This window comes from Homo sapiens, chromosome 10 (assembly GCF_000001405.40).
Source record: "Homo sapiens chromosome 10, GRCh38.p14 Primary Assembly".
Taxonomy (NCBI): Eukaryota; Metazoa; Chordata; class Mammalia; order Primates; family Hominidae; genus Homo; species Homo sapiens.
This window is the reverse complement of record NC_000010.11, coordinates 120,083,782-120,105,486: the sequence shown is the minus strand read 5'-3', so window position 1 is coordinate 120,105,486 and position 21,705 is coordinate 120,083,782. Positions and strand designations below refer to the sequence as shown.

General features: G+C 42.6%; 1 long non-coding RNA gene across 1 annotated transcript, besides 2 other annotated features; it reads left to right on the top strand.

Annotated features, from left to right (window-relative positions):
* Nucleotides 1-1,557: 1,557 nt before the first annotated feature.
* On the top strand, nt 1,558-3,121 carry LOC124902514 (uncharacterized). Its single transcript, XR_007062313.1, has 2 exons — nt 1,558-1,837; nt 2,579-3,121. It is a non-coding gene; the product is annotated as an uncharacterized LOC124902514 (long non-coding RNA).
* Nucleotides 4,872-5,041: an enhancer, noted in NCBI's record as "experimental_10432 CRE fragment used in MPRA reporter constructs". NCBI's record gives its function as "activates a minimal promoter by MPRAs in K562 erythroleukemia cells, with activity observed for the introgressed 10:121860043 variant allele {active_cell/tissue: K562}" and the evidence as "EXISTENCE:reporter gene assay evidence [ECO:0000049][PMID:34662402]".
* Nucleotides 10,643-10,812: an enhancer, noted in NCBI's record as "experimental_10397 CRE fragment used in MPRA reporter constructs". NCBI's record gives its function as "activates a minimal promoter by MPRAs in K562 erythroleukemia cells, with activity observed for the non-introgressed 10:121854272 variant allele {active_cell/tissue: K562}" and the evidence as "EXISTENCE:reporter gene assay evidence [ECO:0000049][PMID:34662402]".

Sequence of the window (21,705 nt, the reverse complement as noted above, 5' to 3'; positions counted from 1 at the left end):
AATGTTGTTAACTGTCACATTGCCAGCTGTTTTCAAAAGAAGTAAAATAAAACCAACACATCTGTTATTTTAAAAGCAGGCAGAGTGATTCTTAAGTTTAAACCTCTGCTAGATTTTGAAATTCTCTGAGTTCTTCCATTCCCCCATAACATTTATAAATGTCTAGCTGAGTTCCAAACAATCCAGAATCATGGCTTCGCTTCATCCCCTTTTTTCTTTTTCTTAATTCCTGACCCTCAATCTACAGACATGAACCACCCTCATCTGTCCCTGAGAGGACAAGGCCCTGGCAGTGTTGCAAGCACTCTGCACTTTCAAAGAGTATTTTTGGGTCAAAAAGCAAACAGCAGCACGTTCTCCTCTGATGAAACTATAGCTTCTGGCTGTCCTCTTATAGCCCAAAGTGGTTGCACAATGGAGATACAGATATCTGCAACAAGACCATTCAGGCTTACTAACCTGCAGAAAGTCATTGTCTTTAGTACTAAGAGGAAAAAAAAACTATTTTATGTGGTTTCCCTCCATTTTTGAAGGGGAAAAAAATCGCTTATTTTTTTCTCCATAGACGTTGGGAGAGGAATCAAAAAAGTTGAAAAATTTGGGGAAAGCACCAGCTCCAAAACATTGCTCAGCACTCAGCAGTGAGTGCTCAGTGAAACAGATGGAGTCACACCTAGGCTGTGGGATAGCAGACAGTATGATCGTGTGTCTCCTCTGGTGTGAGCATCCCTGAGAGCCAACCATGGGCTCAGCTCTGTGCTGGACACGGGAGATACCATGTGCTTACCGCCGGCCCTGTTGCAGTATGTTCATGAACATGCTAAACTATGGTTTATGATATAGCATTAGAGCAGAGCTTCTCAACCTCAGCACTCCTGACACTCTGGGCCAGAGAGATCTCTGGAGCAGGGGGCTTCCTGTGTACTGTATGGGGTTCAGGAGAAGCCCTGGCCTCTGCACACTGAATACCAATAGTAGCTCCTGAGTTGTGACAACCAAAAATGTCTCTATCCCTGGGGTGGCGGGGGAAATCACACTGCATAAGAGCCATAATCGGAGTAAATGTAAAGTTCTAGAGGGGTTGAGAGTAGTTCAATTCAAGGGGTAGAAGCAACCCCCTGGGACCTTACTCACAGGCTCACAGAGCACACAGAATGAGATGCAAATAAAAGTTGCTTCTGGCCGATTCTAAGAGAAACAGCAAAGAGAAGATGAGGGTTGTACTGAAAAGCCACAGGAACAGAAAGGAATTTGAACAAGCTACTCAGGGCAACTAGGTAGGGCTGGTGAGGTCATACTGTCAACAGCATTAAGTGATGCCAAGTCTGTTGTCTGGCATGGGCTTAGCTACCCCTTGGTGAGAGTCGGGAGCCAGGAATGCAGGGATTGCTCCCGTGGGTGGGAGATTGGGTTGGGAAATGTAAAGCTCTCTTTCCTTACCAAGTTTGTTTAACATGGCGCTTCCCACCCCACCCCAACCACATCTTCATGCTACTTCAAGCTGGGAGGAGCCAAGTTCCAGATGTAGCGAATCTCTGCCTGTGTGGACAAAGAGACACATTCAGAGGTGAGCCCAGAGGGGGTAAAGTGGACTGGGGAGAACTTCGGAGGATGTTCATGTCCAGGAGCAGCCCCACGCCCTGTATGGTCGGTGTCTAGAGCCTCACAGCAACTAAGACCAACCCAGCTCTCAGAAGAAGGAATGTCAAAATGTCATGTTCAATTTTACATTCAGTGCCTGGAATCTTTTCTTCACAATTGAAATGAAATGTGCTGAAGGAGGTGAATCCATGCATTAATCTTCAGCTCACAAAGGAAATACTACATAAGAAGCAAGGTAAGTGCCTGCTCTCCTCCCAGAACGCCTCCTGGGGCGGCTGAACAAACGTTTTGCTGCACAAAGCCTAGCGTTGGATTAAAGGGGTGGTTTAATTCATTCCTAGGAACACGCAAGAGATCTACAGCTCTGATCTCCAGGATAGTGAAATGAGGTGGTGAATGATAAGGGTATAATTTAGCCAGCTCAGTGAATAAATAATCATTGCAAATGAAGCAGTAGCACCAGGTAATTAAATTAATCTGTCTCATAGACATGATTCCCTGACTCTCCACTGACAAAGTTGCCTTTCTAGATTTGACTTTTACTGTTGGGCCTTCTTTGGATGCTGAAAGAAGTTCTTAGCTTCCTATTCTCAGAGGGTTCCCCTGGAAAGGGCATGAAGAATAATAGACAAACATTCCATTCTTCACCCCGTGCTGCCAGCCCCATGAGGTCCAAAGGGTGGGATGTAGACACCATCACAGTTTCATGTTTTTATACCTTCCCTTTGACGCTTTCAATTTTCTTCTCTGCATTTCTGAGCTAAAATTGTAACAGGTTTAAAATTGGGAAAGGGATGGAGGAAAGAGGGACCAGATATGAAGGCTACTTTCATACATTAGAGCTTTAATATTAATATACAGACCATGTTCATAAAACCTCAAAACCTACCTTATGTAGAGATCAGGACAAAATTAGAATAAGGAAAAAAAAAAGTCTGTTTAAGTAATTATCTTTTTTTTCTTTTTTTTTTTTAAGACCACAGACTCAAGAAGGACATAATTGGATTTTTTTTGCCATGGCCTGGAAAGAAAGGTACACACAGTTAACCACAAAACAGGCCTCTCTGAAAAAGCCATTGCCATGGACTGCCAGACAGACAATGACAAGACACAAATACCTTCTGGTGTGTGAGCCACGGGACATGTGAGCTTCCCCGCTGATGCTCCTCTTATATCAAAGATCACTTTCACAACATGAGCGACTATCTTTTATCAAACCAATGATCACCTGCAAGCTATGGTATATTTTTGCAGCTGTGTAGAGCTATGTGGCATGAGAATGTGGGACTTATAAATTGCTGATCCAATAAATAGACATTATGGGCAACAGTGTCTTATCAGCTAGTGTGTACTAAGGTTTCAGGAACAGTTGTTCTGACCTTACTATCCAACGAGGAGTAACTGATTCACTTCTCAGAGGTATATTAACCTAATTTGGACATCACAGAATGCCTGAAAAATAATTCTTCAGTGCATTAAACAGTCCCCTGGATCTATTAAAGTAAGCTTATTCATAAAATACTATATTGCCTGTTTTTGTCATTGCCGTATGCCAGCCAGATTTTTTAATGACATTGTGAAAATAAAAGGTATTTTTAAAGGGAAGGATCAAAAATACTTCCCCAAAGAGCATTTTCAACCCTCTCCATCACCTCCTCAATTCAGCTTCTCCCTCTACCACCCTCCTAAAACTGCTCTCCAAGGTTAGCACCCTGAAACCTCCCGAACTTTAGTCCAGAACCCCCGTCTCCACCACCACTCACCCTCCTGAGCCTCTCAGCACATTTGAGAGAATCCCCCTCCCCTCCCTCGCCCTCCTCTCCTCTGCCACCTCCCAACTCCCACTTATGGACATGGTCTTCCCCTCCAGCTTTCAAGATATTGCTTCTCGCTGGCTGGATTTCCACCTCTTTGCACTCCTTCACTCCTTCATGCTATTAATTTGTTTTCCCTGCCTGCTTTCTAAAGGAAGATGCTCCCACCATGGCTTTGACCATGATCCTCCACCATCCTCTCTCTGGATTCTCTCTTCATTCACTCCCTAGTTTGCACACACAGCCTCAACTCTTTCCTAAAACCCCGATGACAGTTGTCCCCAAAGGCCCCCCAGCCCTTAAACTGGATCTGTGCAGGCCCAGCTCATCATCTTTCCTCCAGATGACACCTCCAGGCTTCCCGATCTCTGCTCGCCCATCATCCCAGGCATCCAGCCACAAAACCCAACAGCCCACTTGGGTTTGCTTTCTCCCCTGAGGCCACTTTTCCAGGACCCTTGTCACAGCTGTTCACTCCCCACTATTCCCATTGCCACGGCCCTGGTTCAGGCTATTGTGAGCCCTAGCCTGGTCTACTTTTCCTTAGCTGGTCTTCCTGCCATTCTCACTGAGCCATCCGTGAGAGGCTGCATTTAAGATGAGAAGGCCAGCCAAGCAGTTAAGCCAGGAGGGCTGCCCGTGGTATACGGGCTTACTCAGAGCTGCAAAACACCTCTCCTGCCAAGGAACAAAGCTACCCAGATTCCAAGCAGACATGATGAGCACTAGACCTACTGTATGTTAATACACTCCTCTATTAAGTTTATGTGAAACACTGGGGAAACAAACATTAAACATATTTCTTGGCAGGACACAGTGGCTCACACCTGTAGTCTCAGCACTTTGGGAGGCCAAAGTGGAAGGGTCACTTGAGGCCAAATTTCGAGACCAGCCAGGGCAACATAGTGAGACCCTGTGTGGATTTAAAATTCATCTGATTTCAGTTCTCCAAGGAAACCTCTCGATTCCAGGATCATTGACTGTAAATAAAATGAAACAAGTAAACACACACAGATTATAGATATGGTGTTAAGTCTCACATCCTGAATATTGGTCATGAAGCCAGAACTGTGCCAAGTGCTATGGGGTGTACATTAAAAATATTCCCTTCATCTATGAGAAGTCTGAGGGAAAAAAAAAAAGAAAAAATATATATATTCCCCACCACAGGACCTGTGACCTTACCTGCAGAAAGACTTCAGGACACTGTCTCTGCCCCCCAAGAACAGTAAATTCTAATGTGAGTAGAATCATGAAGACTATAACAATTCTTAAATAAAAAATGTCTGGAAGGTAAAATTATTTAAAGAAGAAAAAAAGTTTTATTTGGAAAAATTCATTCTTAGAGAAAAAAGAATCACAAGGATAAATAAAATAAATAAAAGCCTGGTTTATTTTTCTCTTCCATAATTCAGGGATCCTACCCCTGGGTTTGTGATGCTCTAGAACATTTTAAATAATATATAGGGGTGTCATCCCTAGCCACACAAAATGTAGCTTCAGTTCATTTCAAGTTTTAAAATGAGTAGATCACCTAAGAATAGGCTCAGGAGACAGAAGAACAAAACACAGCCACAAAATCAAACAAACCAATGATGTCAGCACTGAAAATACTGGAAACCTGCTATTTTTTTTATGATAAATGGCACTTCTGCAATGAGACCTGGGCTGGCAGGCAGTTTTCCTAACTCCATCAAAAGCCACCATCTAGGGAAGAAACCCTTCACCAATGGTTAGTTATGGGATCGTCAAAGGCAGGTCATATGCCATCCAAAGAAAGAGCTGAGTGCTGATCGACTGTGTTGTACTGTACTCACTGTGCTTAGAAAAGCAGGCATTCATAATCTTCCATGTCTCTCATACATTTAGAAATCCAAATATATCTGCACATTTATTTTTAGACTTACCGTTTTACACCTAAAAGCCTCTTAATTAACCTATCAGTCACAGACTTTAAACTGTTCATATGTCTGCAGTGCGTGCGCTGGTTTTCTTCCAAATGCTAACCTGCCTCCAGCCCCTGGGTTCTTGAGAAACTCTGGGAAGCCAGTCTTGAGCCAGGAAGATAAGGGTCCTGGCTCCCCAAGGCCTTCGCCTGAACGCCATTTGGCACACACTGGCTTGCAGTTTGGGTCTCAAAGCTACACAAACTACAAACCCTATTCCTCTTCCCTTAGGACCACATTCCAACTCCAAAAAGCAGATTAATTGAACACAGAATTGCAAATTGCTTTGGCTTTTCCTACTTTGAATTTGTTTCCTGTGATCTTATGTATAGAATGTGGAAACCAAGGATAATGCCCGTTACAACCATAACTGCAATACTTGGGACCAAAGAGATTCAAAGAACGTCTGTCTTAACAAAACTTTGCTTTAAAATATGCAAGCACACATGCGTGTACATGGGTGCACACATGTGGACACACACATACTTTAATGCCTTGGGTGCAGGTAGAAGAGAAACCAGGCAGTTTGCAAGTCAACCAGTTTTCATTTCCACCCACCGTGCACACATTTCCATTCAATGACAAGGGACAAGAACGGGGCTCTCTCTTTCATACCTATCTAGCTGCTTTTATCTTGGAACTTAAAAGCAACTTAATCACATTAATTAGGCTTCACAGCAGTGCTGCAATATCTTTTGAATTTTCTGAAACCAGAACAAACGGAAGTTGTACCCCAAGATCATTCTTGGGGGTCTTCCAAGCAAAGTAATTTTATCTAAAACTTAGACTAAATTAGAAAATTATTTCAAAAGGATCACAAATCCCCAAACAATGGAAAAGACATAAAAAGAAGCAGAAGAGAAGTATAGCAAAAGGGACAAAAATAAAAGTTGCCCTTAGAAGCCACATCTCCAAATTTGAGGCGTTTTTGTTTCATAATATTGCTTCCTTTTTTGGAATATACTTTAAAACAGTTATCTGAATTCCTAGGTGATAGTTTCCTTTCAGGCTAACAGCAGGAGTTCTGCTTGTGAATTCAATACACAACCAGGGCCACATCAGCCTTTATGTTTTAAGCATGAAAGTATTTTAGAAACTACTCTGACTGCATTATCAACTTAGCAATGGAGAGAAATGCTGCGAGATTCAAAGACTTCCAAAGTGAATACGAGCCCATCGTATTACCTTAAAAATCACGAAGAGTTTGTTTCATCATTTCAGTTCTTCGAGTTTTATACCCTGGTTCTCAGGCACTGGGCAATGCCCATAGCAAGAATGAATACTTGGGAAATTAATTCATAGGACATCTTTTTCTTGGTATGAAAAGTTATCTTTTCTTCTAATGACATGACACACTAACTCTTGGCTCCAAGCATGCTTTATCTGCAACATCTTTAAGACCCATTTATGCCTAGTGTTCCATTACTGGAATGCTAAGCATGTGGGAGTTATTTATATCCTACTGCTCAAGGTCATCACCAAGATCTGATTGCAAAAATTCAAAAAATTGCAACCTCTGGCATAAATGGGTTAATCAAGTGGTATGACTTTGCTGCCCAAAATGTAATTGTAAACCTGAAAGGGGATCCCCAAATGCCCTCTAGTAGCTGTTAAGAACCATCTCAGAGCCTTCACCCAGAGCCTCTGTTCTGCCTTCCCAGCAGGGTCTAGTCAGTTCATCTGCTAGTCCTTGCTTAGATCCAAGCCAGGCATTTTATCTATGTGCATCTCAAATCACACTTGCCAGGGAAATGCAAGGGGGAAAAAACCTTCCTGCTCTCACCCTCCCTTTCTGGAACTTGGCCCACTTAGAATTTTGCTTCCTGATCCTTCCAATAAGCTAAAACCCCAGAGGCATTTAACGATTAAAAGGGACCAGAGGCATTCGGTTGGAACATGTGTATCATGCATAAAATCAAACTGTTCTTTCTCATGGTCCCCATATTGCTAACATTGCCCAAGTAAAAATGCAAATTGCCACATAGTTTAATCTGTGCATGATTCTTACCTTTGTGCAATTAAAAGAGAATAAATTTTAAAGTTTTTATTCTTCCCCCTCTGCCTCCACCAAAAGAAGTAAAAACATTAAAGCCACTAAGAGACTTCAAGTGCACACTGAATTCCTCTGAGCTAGGAGATTTAGGAGATCATGAGCAACCACATTTCTTTTTCAGAGAATTCAGGCAGGATCAAATTAGGTTGTCTGGTTTTCATAGCCCCCACAGGTCACATTCTGTTTAGTATCAACAGACCCAGAACTTATTATGACAGCAAGTTCAGTCTATTTCCTAAATATTATTCCCCTAAGGTGTAAATACTGGCCAAGCAAGCTGACCATCATGTTAGCCAAGCAAGGTCAGTTGCCCACCCTACCTCCCCGACCTAGAATGTTCCTTTTAAGAAAACTTGGCCGGGTGCGGTGGCTTATGCCTGTAATCCCGGCACTTTGGGAGGCTGAGACAGGCAGGTCACCTGAGGTCAGCCATTCAAGACCAACCTGCCCAACATGGTGAAACCCCATCTCTACCGAAAATACAAAAATTAGCTGGGCTTGGTGCTGGGCGTCTGTAATCCCAGCTACCCAGCAGGCTGAGGCAGGAGAATTGCTTGAACCCAGGAGGCAGCAGTTGCAGTGAGCCAAGATCGCACCACCGCACTCCAGCCTGGGCAACACAGACTCCATCTCAAACAAACAAACAAAAAAAATTAGCTGCTGCGTGTGCCAGATGGATATGTACTAGGTGGATACCACTTGAATTGGGCATACTGACACATCTCCTGAATTTGTAGATTTTTTTTTTTAATGGAGTCTCGCTCTGTGCCCAGGCTGGAGTCAAGTGGTGTGATCTTAGCTCACTGCAACCTCCACCTCCCAGGCTCAAGCAATTGTCCTGCCTCAGCCTCCCAAGTAGCTGGGATTACAGGTGCCTGCCATCATGCCCCGCTAAATTTTTTTGTATTTTTAGTAGATACAGGGTTTCACCATGTTGACCAGGCTGGTTTCGAACTCCTGACCTCAAATGATTGGCCCGCCTGGGCCTCCCAAAGTGCTAGGATTACAGGCGTGAGCCACCTCACCTGGCCCTGAATTTGTAGATTAACCCCAATAATAAAGTAAAAATGGCCCCTAATAATTAAGTACTTACCATGTGTAGTTTATAGATATTCTCTCATTTTTTCTTCACAACAATCCTACAAGATGGGTACTCTTGTTAGCCCTATTTCAGACAAGGAGACTAAGGCTCAGAGAGGTTAAATAAGTTGCCCATGGTTACACAGCAAGTAATAAGGGCAAAACCATGATTCAAACCCAGACCTCTTCCACCCCAAGGCCCTGTACTAGGCCTCTCCTCTGCCCACCATGACCTGCCATGTGCCCACAGGGGTCCCCTGACTCTCCTCACACTTCCTTCACGGCCTCATCACTTTCTCGGCCTCTGAGTTCTGGAACGTCTGCTTAGCTTTTCCTGGAAGTAGCCTAGGCTCTTCCCAACTGTGACCCAGGCTCTGTGGCTCTGCTAGGCTATTGTGCATCCCATCCTGGCCTAGGCCCCAGAATGTTCCATGCCGTCTGCCTTGCGGGTTACAGTCCCACGCGTCCACAAAGATTCTGGAAGCTCCATCAAAACTTACGTGAAATCCCTCACAACATCCTGCAAAGAGTACGGTAGGTCTATCCCTTTGCAGGTGAGCAAAGTTTCCTTGGAGAGTGGCTTGGATGAACCCACAGTGGACTTGGCAGCAGTGAGAAATGTTCTTGTCTGACCTTAATGTTTTAATTTACAATGTAAGGATGGTCAAGTAATTTTTTTAGAAATATAAAATTCTTATATTCACAGTCCAAATTATATTATCGTGTAAACCAAATGATATATTCTGGGGCCTAGTGTAAGAGATTATTCTCAGCCTGTTAATAGAATATTGTGTTTGTCCTTAGTATTATTGCTCACCGGCACAGGCTGAAATTCTACCACTTTTATTTGAACAAGATTTGTCATGCAAAAGACACTGATTACTAGCAATATAATCTTAGTTCCATCAAAGTCAAATAGATTTCTCCATTCATCCAAGCAGGAAGTCAGCCAGATATATGGAATGAAAAACAAACTGACACTTTTAATGACAAATGGGTAGCAAAGCTTTATTGATTAAGAGAATAAAAAATGAAATACTAGGGAATAAACACTGGGTGATATCAATGAAGTTTAAAAAGAAACATACCATTAACTGATCTATGACGATAAGCTATAGTTGAGGGACGCTATAAAACAGGAAGCAGGTATCCACAGGGAACACGGTATTTAACTGAAGGTTATTCTGTTTATCATCATCTCTTTTATTAGCCCCTCAATAGCATGTAATTCAGTGGACTGCAATATCACAGGAGGATTTTTTTGCTTTTTTTCTTCTCCATTAATATTCCCTGCCAGGCTGTTGCCAGAATTACAAATAAGAATATTTATGTTAATAGCTACCACAAAGAGAAAATGCATGTGAAATAACTCTGCAACTATCCATAAAACCAGGGCAACATGCAGGGGTTTGCAGACATCAAGGGGTCAATTTTTGCCCCCAGGGGACATTTGGTGATGTTTGGAGATATTTTTGATTGTCACAACTGGGGAGTGCTATTGGCATCTAGTGGGTAAAGGCCAGGGATGATGTGAAACACCCTACAATGCACAGGAAGGGTGCACACAGCAAGAAATTACATGGGCTAAAGTCTCAACACCTTCCAGGCTGAGAAACCTGCTTTTCATAGATGAAAAAAGCATAAGCTCACATTGACAGCAGCTTTTCAATCACTGGAAACTCCAAATCATGATCATATATCACACAAAAGGGACATGTATTTTAGACCATCCCGAGGGACTTGATTTTGTAGCCTAGCAACATTTCAAGGCAGGTATGTGGTGTCAAAAGATTCTGCAGGAAGTGCCAGAGGAAAGCATCATTCCAAAAAACAGGACACAATTCCAAAACCTGGCCCAGAAATGTAAATGGCCGCAAATATTGAGCAACTCATTTGGACTAATACGTTGATTTTTAAGTATATTAATAAAATGCCTTTACCATGTAAATCAAAAATCATTTTTTTAAAACCTACATTGTGGATAGTTTCTAAACCAAACCACAACATATGTGGCAAGAATCATCTCATTTGAATTGTGTCTTGACAATCACATGCAACATCAGCTTTTATTGTAACTTGTCATGATGTATCTCCAACAGGATGTAATTTATCAGCAGGTCAAAGAGCTGGAAAATTAATATCTGTTTAGCTAAATAGATCACACCTGTTAGCAAACTTGTCCCAATAATTTGTCGTCATGGTTTATGATATACGCAGACCAAGGTCATTTATCACTTGGATTATTTACAGAAGTCACAGTCTTGTTTTCTGAATGTGTGTGTGCCTGCACATGTTTACACATTTATGTGAACTCTTTGAAATGCTTTTATATAATATGTTTAAAAAAATAAGTGAAGGGAGTGCTAAATCACCTCTGCAACTTCCTTTGAATTCTGTTTCTCTGTTGCTTTGTTCTTCCACCTAAACAGCAATTGGTGTCATTTCCACTTCAATTCATTCCTAAACTGCCTCTGGTGATAGGTTTTCTGCAAAAGCACAGGAGAGTTCCAGGGCCTGAGAAAAATTCCCACAAATAAACCTTAGCCCTTCATTAACTGCAAAAGAGCTCTCCAGTCCTCCTTTGGGGGCTGCCCTGAGCAAAAGTGTGCATAGGAGTAGTGACAAGCAAAATTTGCAGAGTCAGGTCAACCCAGGTTCAAAACCCACGTTGACCACATCCTGCCTGTGACCTCGGGCAAGTAGCATAACCTCCCTGATCCTCAGCCCCATACATGGAAAGAGGAGATAAAATTACCCACCTCCAATTTGCACATCCATGTTCATAGCATCATTATTCACAATAGCTAAAACTTGGAAGCAACCCAAATGTCCATCAACAGCTGAATGGATAAACAAAATGTGGTATACACATATGATATGGTTTGGCTGTGTCCCCACCCAAATCTCATCGTGAATTGTAGCTCCCATAATTCCCATGTGTTGTGGGAGGGACCCAGCAGGAGATAATTGAATCAGAGAGGTGGTTTCCCCATACTGTTCTCATGGTAGTGAATAAGTCTCACAAAATCTGATGGTTTTATAAGGGGAAACCCCTTTCACTTCGTTCTCATTCTCTCTTTGCTGGCTGCCACGTAAGACGTGCCTTTGCTCCATCTTTGCCTTCCACCATGATTGTGAGGCCTCCCCAGCCATGTGGAACTCTGAGTCCATTAAGCTTCTTTCTTTTATAAATTACCCAGTCTTGAGTACGTCTTTATCAGCCATGTGAAAATGGGCTAATACAACATACAATGGAATATTATTCAGCCTTAAAAAGAAAGAAAATCCTGATACATTCTACAACATGGATGATGCTTGAGGACATTATGCTAAGTGAAATAAGCCTGTCAGAAAAAGACAAATACTGCAGGAGCCCACTTATACGAAGTACCTAAAGTAGTCAAATTCATAGAAAGAGAAAGTAGGGTGGTGGTTACCAGGGATAGGGAGGGAAGGGAATGGGGAGTTTTGTTTAATGGGTCTAAGGTTTCATATTTGCAAGATGGAAAACTTTGGCAGATCTGTTGCATGACAATGTGAATATACTTAAAACATGACTGAACTATACACCTAAAAATAGTTAAAATGGTAAATTTTATGGTAAGTGGTTTTTACTACAATTTAAAAACTTTTTAACATACCTGCTAAAACTGTTGTGAGAATGAAATGAGGTTATGCTTATAAAGTACTGAGCACAGAGTTCAGCACACAGCCCTCTGTTAATGTCAAGAATCATTATGAGCTAAATAGTCTGCTAACTATTCCATCAAGTCCATTTTGAGCATGCATTTTGGGCCTAACCCTGTGCTAGGGTGAAGGACAGTACACATGAGAAAGACACATTATCCCATCAGGTCGCCCACAGGGACACCGAGGAAACAAACCTGGCCCAGGTGAAAGAGCAGGAGAACAAGGCAGAGATGCTAAGTTCCATGATCCAGACCAATGACACTGGGTATCAGAGATGAGGAAAATCAGGTAGAAATTTCAAGGATGCATTGGGAAGCTCCTGGCCCAACACCTGGCCCAGAACAAGTGCACAAGAGCATTGGCCATCGTTATTATCACTGTCATCTTCTATAAATGGGATGGGACGAGTGCCTCCTCCATCACCAGGATTAACGGTTCTTGCCACCCACCCCCATGCTTACCTCTTATTTAAGGACAAGGGCTCCTGGTCTTGGTCTTTTGCAGGAAATTTTTCTCTTCACTGTTGCCTGTTTGCCCCGAGCCGTTTTCATTATCCTTTGTTTTCTTTCTCTGTGTTGCTTGTCCTATCTCTTTCTTAGTTGTCAGCTCAGTTTGGGAGATTTTTTATTTATTATCGGCCACACAGGCAAACCTATGCCTTTCCTTGCTAAATTTTATAACTTTACAAGTGTTGGCAACAGGGGTGACCGCAAAAACTATAAACCATCTCCATGAAGTCTTTTCAATCCATTCAGATTGCTGTGGATTATGTAACATCTAAAAAAAATACACACACACATTGGCTTTTGTACTTAAACTTTACTTGTTTTTTGTTTGATTTGGCTTTTATTAACAAAAAACTTTCTCACTAAAGAAATGAAGCTGCCAGCACATAGTCCTCTAGGCATTAGGGCTCCCTCATCAAATTCAGGAAATGGCAACCATCACCCAAGTAATTTGACTTGCACTAAAAATGCTTTGTCCCATCATCAACCTTACCCACTGCCAAAGAGTGAATGCTGGGTCAGCCTGGGTCACAGCTTTGACCTGGGAATTCTGGATGTGTAAAATGTGAGAGTTTGAAACAAACATAAAGATGACCCTATTCAATCCCACACTTAATATAAGGGAAACTGAGCCTTTGAAGAGGAAGTTACCTAACAATGACTGTACCCTTTTATTACTATGTCTTTCTGCTCACTATTGACCAATCCAGCACTGCCCAGTGGTACCTGGGGGGAAAAGTCAACTTTCGTCCTTCTATAGCTTCCAAATTTCCAGAGCTTGCCCCTGAGAAACCAATCTCTTCTTCTCAGCCAGCCCTTCACTGCAACTTGAATTGATGGCTCTATAAAAATAAAATCCATTTAGGAAATGTTTGCCTTTTTCTTCTGACATAACTGGGGCATGAGATACTGGAGAGTTCCAGCTACAAAGGTTTTCTCATTCCCTAAACCCAGACTCACCAAGACCTCTACCACCTCAACTCCACCCAACACCTCAAATATCACTCTGTGCCCAAATTTCATGTAGTGTTCATTCTAGCAAGCATCATGTGATTTTTTTCTTGCAACTGACAAGAGGGTGAGTACTGTAACTGATTACAGCTCTTTGGGGTCATCATGTGCTGAACCCAGTTTATGAACCTCCCCAGGCCTTCCAACCTCCCTGCCCATCCACTTCCTCCCTTCTTGCTTCCTAGAGCCATCCTAGAAGGGCTCATGCCAGTCTCTTGGTTGCAGAGCCCCGGCTTCTGCCACCACCACCTTTGCTGGCACCAGTTAAGGTGTCCTACATGTGGCATCAACTGGCAAAGTCCACCCAGCTGCACACTGGCCAGACAGGACCCATGGCAGCCTAGTCTTCCCCAGCAGCTCCCTGGAGGGAGCAGGAAACAACCCAGATGTGCTAACAGCCTACAGCATGAACTTTGGCTGATGAAGCCAAGAGACAGGAAAGAGCAAGCTGGTGAGACTCTCACCATCCCTCCCCACTTTGGATGGAACCCCCAGTGGGATTCCTCACCTGTGGTCCAGTGACTGACCCACATGCTGTTTTCTTACCAACTCTGGTGCACTCTGTAACCCACGACCTTGTCTTTCCTTTCCTTGCTTCCTCCCACATTTGCCCTTTGGGGTCTCACCCTCAATAAAGCTTGAGTACAGAGCAGGGCAAGCTTTCTCTGTAAATGGCCAGATGCTAAATATTTCCAGCTTTGCAGGCTAGACAGTCAGTGCTGCAACTACTAAACTTTACCATTGCCCGCACCAAAGCAGCCACTGACAATTTGTAAGCAAGTGGGCATGGTTGTATTCCAATAAAACTTTATTTATGAGCATAGACATTTGAATTTCATAAAATAGTCACATGTCACACAATATGGGCATATCTCAGAAATACTGCATGCTCAGTGCTAGACAACCACAATAAAGCAAATATCACAGTAGAGTGAGCCACACAAATTTTTTGGTTTCCCCATGCAAATAAACATTATGTTTAAACTATACTGTAGTCTATTAAGTGTGCAATCACATTATGTCTAAATACATATATATGTGTGTGTGTGTGTGTGTACATACATACCTTAATTTTAAAATGCTTTATGTTAAAAACTGTTAACAATCACCTGAGCCTTCAGTGAATTATAATCTTTTTGTTGGTGGAGGATCTTGCCTCAATGTTGATGGCTGCTGACTGACCAGGGTGATGGTTGCTGAAGGTTGTGGTGACTATGGCAATTTCTTAAAATAAGACAACACTGAAGTCTGATGCAGCAATTGACTCTTCCTTTCATGAAAGATTTCTCCATAAGATGTGATGCTGATTGACAGCATTTTACCAACAGTAGAACTTCTTTGAAAATTGGAGTCAATCCTCTCAAATTTTGCCACTGCTTTATCAACTAAGTTAATTTAATATCCTAAATTCTTTGTTGTCATTTCAACAACATTCCCAGCGTCTTCACCAGGAGCAGATTCCATCTCAAGAAACCACTTTCTTTGCTCATCCATAAGGGGCAACTCCTCACCGGGTGCAGTGGTTCACACCTGTAATCCCAGCACTTTGGGAGGCCAAGGTGGGTGGATCACTTGAGATTGGGAGTTTGAGACCAGCCTGGCCAACCTGGTGAAACCCCATCTCTACTAAAAATACAAAAATTAGCCGGGCATGGTGGCCTGTAATCCCAGCTACTTGGGAGGCTGAGGCAGGAGAATTGCTTGAACCCAGGAGGCAGAGGTTGCAATGAGCCGAGATTGTGTCACTGCACTCCAGCCTGAGTGACAGAGCAAGACTCCATCTCAAAAAAAGGAGGCAACTCTTCATCCGTTTAAGTTTTTTCACGAGATTGCAGAAATTCAGCCACATCCTCAGGCTCCATTTTTAATTCTAGTTCTTTTGCTGTTTTCATCATATCTGTGGTTACTCTCCCCAGTGAAATCTTGAACCCCTCTCAAAATCATCCATGAGGATTGGAACCAACTTTTCCATACTCCTGTTAATGTTAATATTTTGACCTTCTCCCATAAATCATAAATGTTCTTAATGGTATCTAGAATGGTGAATTCTTTCCAGAGGGTTTTCAATTGACTTTGCCCAGATCCATCAGAGGAATCAATATCTATGGCAGCTATAGCCTTACAAAATGTATTTCTTAAATAATAAGATTTAAAAGTCAAAATTACTTCTTGATCCAAGGGCTGCAGAATGAATGTTATTTTAGGAGGCATGGAAAGAACATTAATCTCCTGTACACCTCCATGAGAGCTCTTAGGTGACCAGATGTATTGTCAATGAGTAGTAATATTTTGAAAAGAATAACTTTTCTGAGTAGTAGTTCTCAAAAGTGGGCTTAAAATGTTCAGTAAACCATGCTGTAAACAGATACGCTGTTATCCAGGCTTTGTTTTTGCATTTATATAGAATGGGCAGAGTCAATTTAGCACCATTCTTAAGGGCCCCAGGATTTTTAGAGTGGAAAATGAGCACTGGCTCCAATTTAAAGTCACCAGCTGCATTAACCCCTAACAAGAGAGTCATCCTATTCTTTGAAGCTTTGAAACCAAGCATTGACTTCTTTCTAGCAATGAAAATTCTAGATGACATCTTCTTCCAATAGAAGGCTGGTTCATCTACACTGAAAATCTGTTGGTCAGTGTAGCCACCTTCTCGATGATCTTAGCTAGATCGTCTAGATAACTTGCTGCAGCTTCTACACCAGCACTTGCTGCTTCACTTTGTACGTTTCTGTTATAGAGATGGTTTCTTTCTTTAACCTCATAAACCAACCTCTGCTTGCTTCCAACTTTTCTTCTGAAGTTTCTTTCTAGGTATCTTAGCCTTCTCAGAATTGAGGAGAATTAGGGCCTTGCTCTGGATTAGGCTTTGGCTTAAAGGAATGTTATGCCTGCTTTGATATTCTATCCAGACTACTAAAACTTTCCCCATATCAGCAATAGATTGTTTTGCTTTCTTATCATTTGTGTGATTTAAAGTGAGAGGTGTGGCTCTTCCTTTCACTTGAACAGAGAGAGGTTATTGCAGGGTTATTAATTGCTCTAATTTCAATATTGTTATGTCTCAAGGAATAAGAAGGCCTGAGTGGGGAACATATACAACATTGATTAAGCTCATCATCTTCTATGGACAGGGTCCATGGCACCCTAAAACAAATATAATTACAATAATAACAAAGATCACTGATCACACTGTGATAGATATAATAATACTGGAAAAGTTTGGAATATTTTAAGAACCACCAAAATGAGAAAGAGACACAAAAAGAGCACATGCTGCTAGAAAAATGGCACTGATGGACTTGCTCAATGCAGAGCTACCACAAACCTTCTATTCGTAAAAGACACAATATCTGCAAAGAGCAATAAAGTGAAGTACAATTAAATAAGATATGCCTGTATTAGTCTTCTTATAATATTTTGTCAACCATTTAAAAATGGAAAAACCACAGCCAGGAGTGGTGGCTCACGCCTGTAATCCCAACATTTGAGGAGGCCAAGGTGGGCAGATCACCTGAGGTCAGGAGTTTGAGACCAGCCTGGCCAATATGGCAAAACCCCGTCTCCACTAAAAATACAAAAAATACCTGGGCATGGTGGAGCGCACCTGTAGTCCCAGCTACTTGGGAGGCTGAGGCAGGTGAATTGTTTTAACATAATTCACAATTAAGATGGAAGTTGCAGTGAGCCAAGATCGTGCCACTGCTCTCCAGCCTGGGTGACAGAGAGAGACTCTGTCTCAAAAAAAGAAAAAAAGGAAAAACTATTATTTGTTCATGGGCAGTACAAAACAGGCAGTGGGCTAGATTTGACCCCTAGGCCATAGTTTGCCAAACCCTGATTTTTTTTTTTTTTTTTTTTTTGAGACAGAGTCTTGCTCTGTCGCCCAGGCTGGAGTGCAGTGGCGCGATCTCAACTCCCTGCAACCTCTGTCTCCTGGGTTCACACCATTCTCCTGCCTCAGCCTCCCGAGTAGCCGGGACTACAGGTGCCCGCCACTGCACCTGGCTAATTTTTTGTATTTTTAGTAGAGACAGGGTTTCACCGTGTTAGCCAGGATGGTCCCAATCTCCTGACCTCGTGATCCACCCGCCTTGGCCTCCCAAAGTGCTGAGATTACAGGTGTGAGGCACCCCAACCGGCCGCCAAACCCTGATTTAAATCACTGAGTTGTGGGATTTCTTAGCTCACAGCCTGTGCAAAAATAGGTGACACAGGCCAAAGTGTGCCAGTCCCTGCTTTAGCACCTAAACTTTGTTTACAGCCTGTTTTTTACAAATCCCAGACTAAGACACACCACAGTCATAATCCTTAGGTAAATTTTTAAAATAGTAATAAATTTTTTAAAGCTTTCTTAATAATTCTCTGCACTGAATTAGAGCCTGAGTTGCTGGCAGGTCATATCGAGAAAGCCAAATTCCTCGCCTCCTTCCTGTAGCCATCCTAATCAGTGAAGCTCAGGGATGCAGATACTGGTCCCCGCAGCTCCTGCTGTGTCAAAGCCACCTTCCATTCTCATTTATCTTTCCCTGGGTGTAATTCTTTACTCCCCTTTCAGGTCAAGAAACATAGATTAAATTCCTTTGTATCCTTCACTAGTTCTTCCTACACAATGAATATTTATTATTCAATAAACATATGTTGATTCTTTATGAGAGCAGGAGCAAGAGGACAGCTTTCATGATGGAGCTGAATTTCCTTTCTCAGAGCTGCTTAAGGAGGGAATAGGTTGCCTCGGAGAGATGTGAATTTCTCATGTATTAGGTATTCAAGAAGGTCTATAAGATCACAAGGCGAGGATGCTAAAGATTAAGAATTCACACTTCAGGTGAAGGGTAAGACTTCATTTTGGCCCCCAGAGTCAGTGACTCCCCAGATTAGACAAACGCTGAAAAGTCAGCTCTCAGAGATGCAAGAGAAGGAAGGTAAGAGCATTGTTAGAATTCCTACCATATACCAGACACTGAACTGAGTGCTTCATACATTAATTATAATAACAATCAAGATGTATTGACCCTACAATATGTGCCAAGTACTGGGTAATAGTCTTTTACAATCTACTCCAAGGACACACAGCTGAAAAACAAAACAAGAACAAAACCCCGGTCCAACTGACCTCAAAGGCCATGAGTTACCCTTTTTATGCCTTTCTCCTTGAGTGGGAGGTGAGGTCACACCATGAGGTCCTTCTACATCTTGATGGGACCATATTGTCCAACCACTATAAGTGACATTAATGATTATGTACTTTTTTTACTAAATTGAGATCTATTGTGGTGTTTATGCTCTTGAAAAAGAACATTTCAAAGAATCAAACTACTCCTTAACTTTAAAAAAAAAAAAAAAAAAAAAAAAAAAAAAGTAGAGAATCGCAGTTGTTACGGAACATGGACTCACCCCGGGGAGCTGGGAATAGCTCATAACAAACTGCATCATAGCACACCACTAATTAAGAATGCTTAAATGGCAGCTAGTGCCTCAGAGGGCCGCCACAGGCTAGAACCATGCCGTTCCATTAAGCCTGGAAATAAGTACTTTGTCATTAACCTGACGTATAATTTATGTGGGTATAAATGTGTCTCCTTCCTTCTCAAAATGGGCAAGAGCCAACACAGTATCCCAGCTGTGCACCCCAGCTCCTCCACAGGGAAATACAATTCTCCTAATGATCTAACTTTTGTTTTGACCCAGAGCCCATTTTAAAATATTGCCTCTCTCCAGACCTCCTGCCAACAACAGCGAGGTGATGTGCTGCTTAGGAGAGCCTGAGAGCAGCGCTATTATTTCTGCAGACATTCAGCCTGATACATGTTAATCAGCTTCATTAACCCAATGGGCACGAACAAGGCCTTATGGTTTGCCTACCTGGAGAAGCAGCCAGGTTCAGGGACACAAAAACAGGCCAAAAGTCTACACCCGTAGATGTTTGACTTCCTGAGACCCTGGCACCCTTGCTGCATTCACAGGTTCACAGTGTCCTCACCATTTGAACATTATTTATGCTGCTGTTGTCTTGAAGCAACCTAGGATGCAAGTCCTAGGAGCGTTTCTCAGCATTCCAGGTCTGCAGCAAGACTGCACTGAAGGAGGTATAATGAGGGAGCTTCTCCCTCTGCATTAGCTCAAGCCGCTGCAGTGACCCAAGCAAAGCTGTGGCAGCCCATCCATCTTGTCACCTCTGCAGAAGCAAGCATCTGCTCCCCTCCCCAGGGCTCTGCCAGGCTCAGCTCTCATCCTGCAACTGCTTCCATTCACACCACTCTCAAGGCCTCCAGTCAAAAACTCCCTAGAGAAAGGGTTCCATCTGTCAGTTGGCCGTCTTCCAACGAGGAGTGCCCTATTGACCAGAGTTCTCCAGCCCGGTCACTTGAGAGGCCACCACTGACCTACATACTGGTTCTTTTTTCTTCTTTTGGTTCCAAACCACACTCCCATTTCCCTCCTCCCCTCCACCTCCATAGGCAACCTCTCCAAAGTGCTCAATGTGCACCTTCTTGTTTGCACTCTTTCAAAATGAATACATGATTATGTGTGCATTTTCATAAATGTACATTATGTGCATGTTGTTGATCTCATTCTGTTTCCTTAAATTCTGGTTTTTCTCTTCCAGGGTCAAGCCCTACCCCCCTTTTATGTGATAAAAGTTATGGATAATGTAATAAGTTATGGATATGCTTACCAGAAAAGTACATGAAGGGAAACAGTAAATTTTGCACACAATTTTAGGTTGTTCACATGTGCTAAAAGCCATTCGTGGACCCCTGAGGGTCAGGGAGCTGGGGTTGAATCTTTGTCAGAGATACTGGCCTTTGACCAGGGCTTGAAGGTCTAGTCTGATCAGTAGTAGCCAGGGAAATAGGGTCACAAGACAGAAAAAGGACACCCGTGCACAGAGAACTTCCTATAGCCCATCTTCTCCAGGCGGGTTGGCCATGGCAGCCACTCTGAGTCCAGTGAACTTCCTTTCAGTCTGTTCCTCCAATAAAGGAATGTAATATTATAATAACCCACGTTATTCCCATTCTGAATGCCCTTTCAGCTCATCCCCTTACTCATACCCATCACTTCCTTCAAAATTCAGAGTTCTCCCAGAGGGAATTCTTCTGTATTAATCTGTTTTCATGCTGCTAATACAGACATACCCAAGACCAGGTAATTTATAAAGAAAAAGAGGTTTAATGGACTCGCATTTCCACGTGGCTGGGGAGGCCTCACAATCATGGCAGAAGGCAAAAGGCACATCTTACATGGCGGCAGACAAGACAGAATGACAGCCAAGCAAAAGGGGAAATCCCTTATAAAACCATCAGGTCACGTGAGACTTATTCACTACCATAATAACAGTACAGGTAAAACTGCCCCCATGATTCAATTATCTCCCACTGGGTCCCTCCCACAACACATGGGAATTATGGGAGCTACAACTCAAGATGAGATTTGGGTGGGGACACAGCCAAACCATATCATCTTGTCATCTTTACAAACCATTTTAGTCACACTTGCCTGACATATAATTTTGAATTTGTTATCATGATGTTTAGAAAGAATTCCAAACAGTTTTTTTTAGTTATGGTTTACCCCTACCATCAGGTTGTAAACCCACTGAAGAAGGGAGCCGTCTGCTATACATATGAAAAGATAGAGAATGGTGTTCATCTGAATTCCAGAGTGCAGAGGGATGAGAACTGATTCTTATGAGAAAGATGAGGAGAGCTGGACCCCATTTTTCAGAAGGCTATGGTCAGTGGTTTTGTATCAAGACCTTAGTACAAAACAAACCACAACAGATCTCAGTGGCTTCAAACCATCTTTGTTATTATCTCTCATGGTTCCGTCCATTGCCTGGACTTAGCTGGGCTGATGTCACATGAGGCCTCTTAGAGAGTTGCAGTTGGATGTTGGCTGAGGGTGGAGTCTGTTGAGGGTCCAATGGGGATGATGTTCAAGATTACTTCTTCATTTGGCAAAGCTGAGGGCTACATGGGCACCTCTCTCTCTCTTCACAC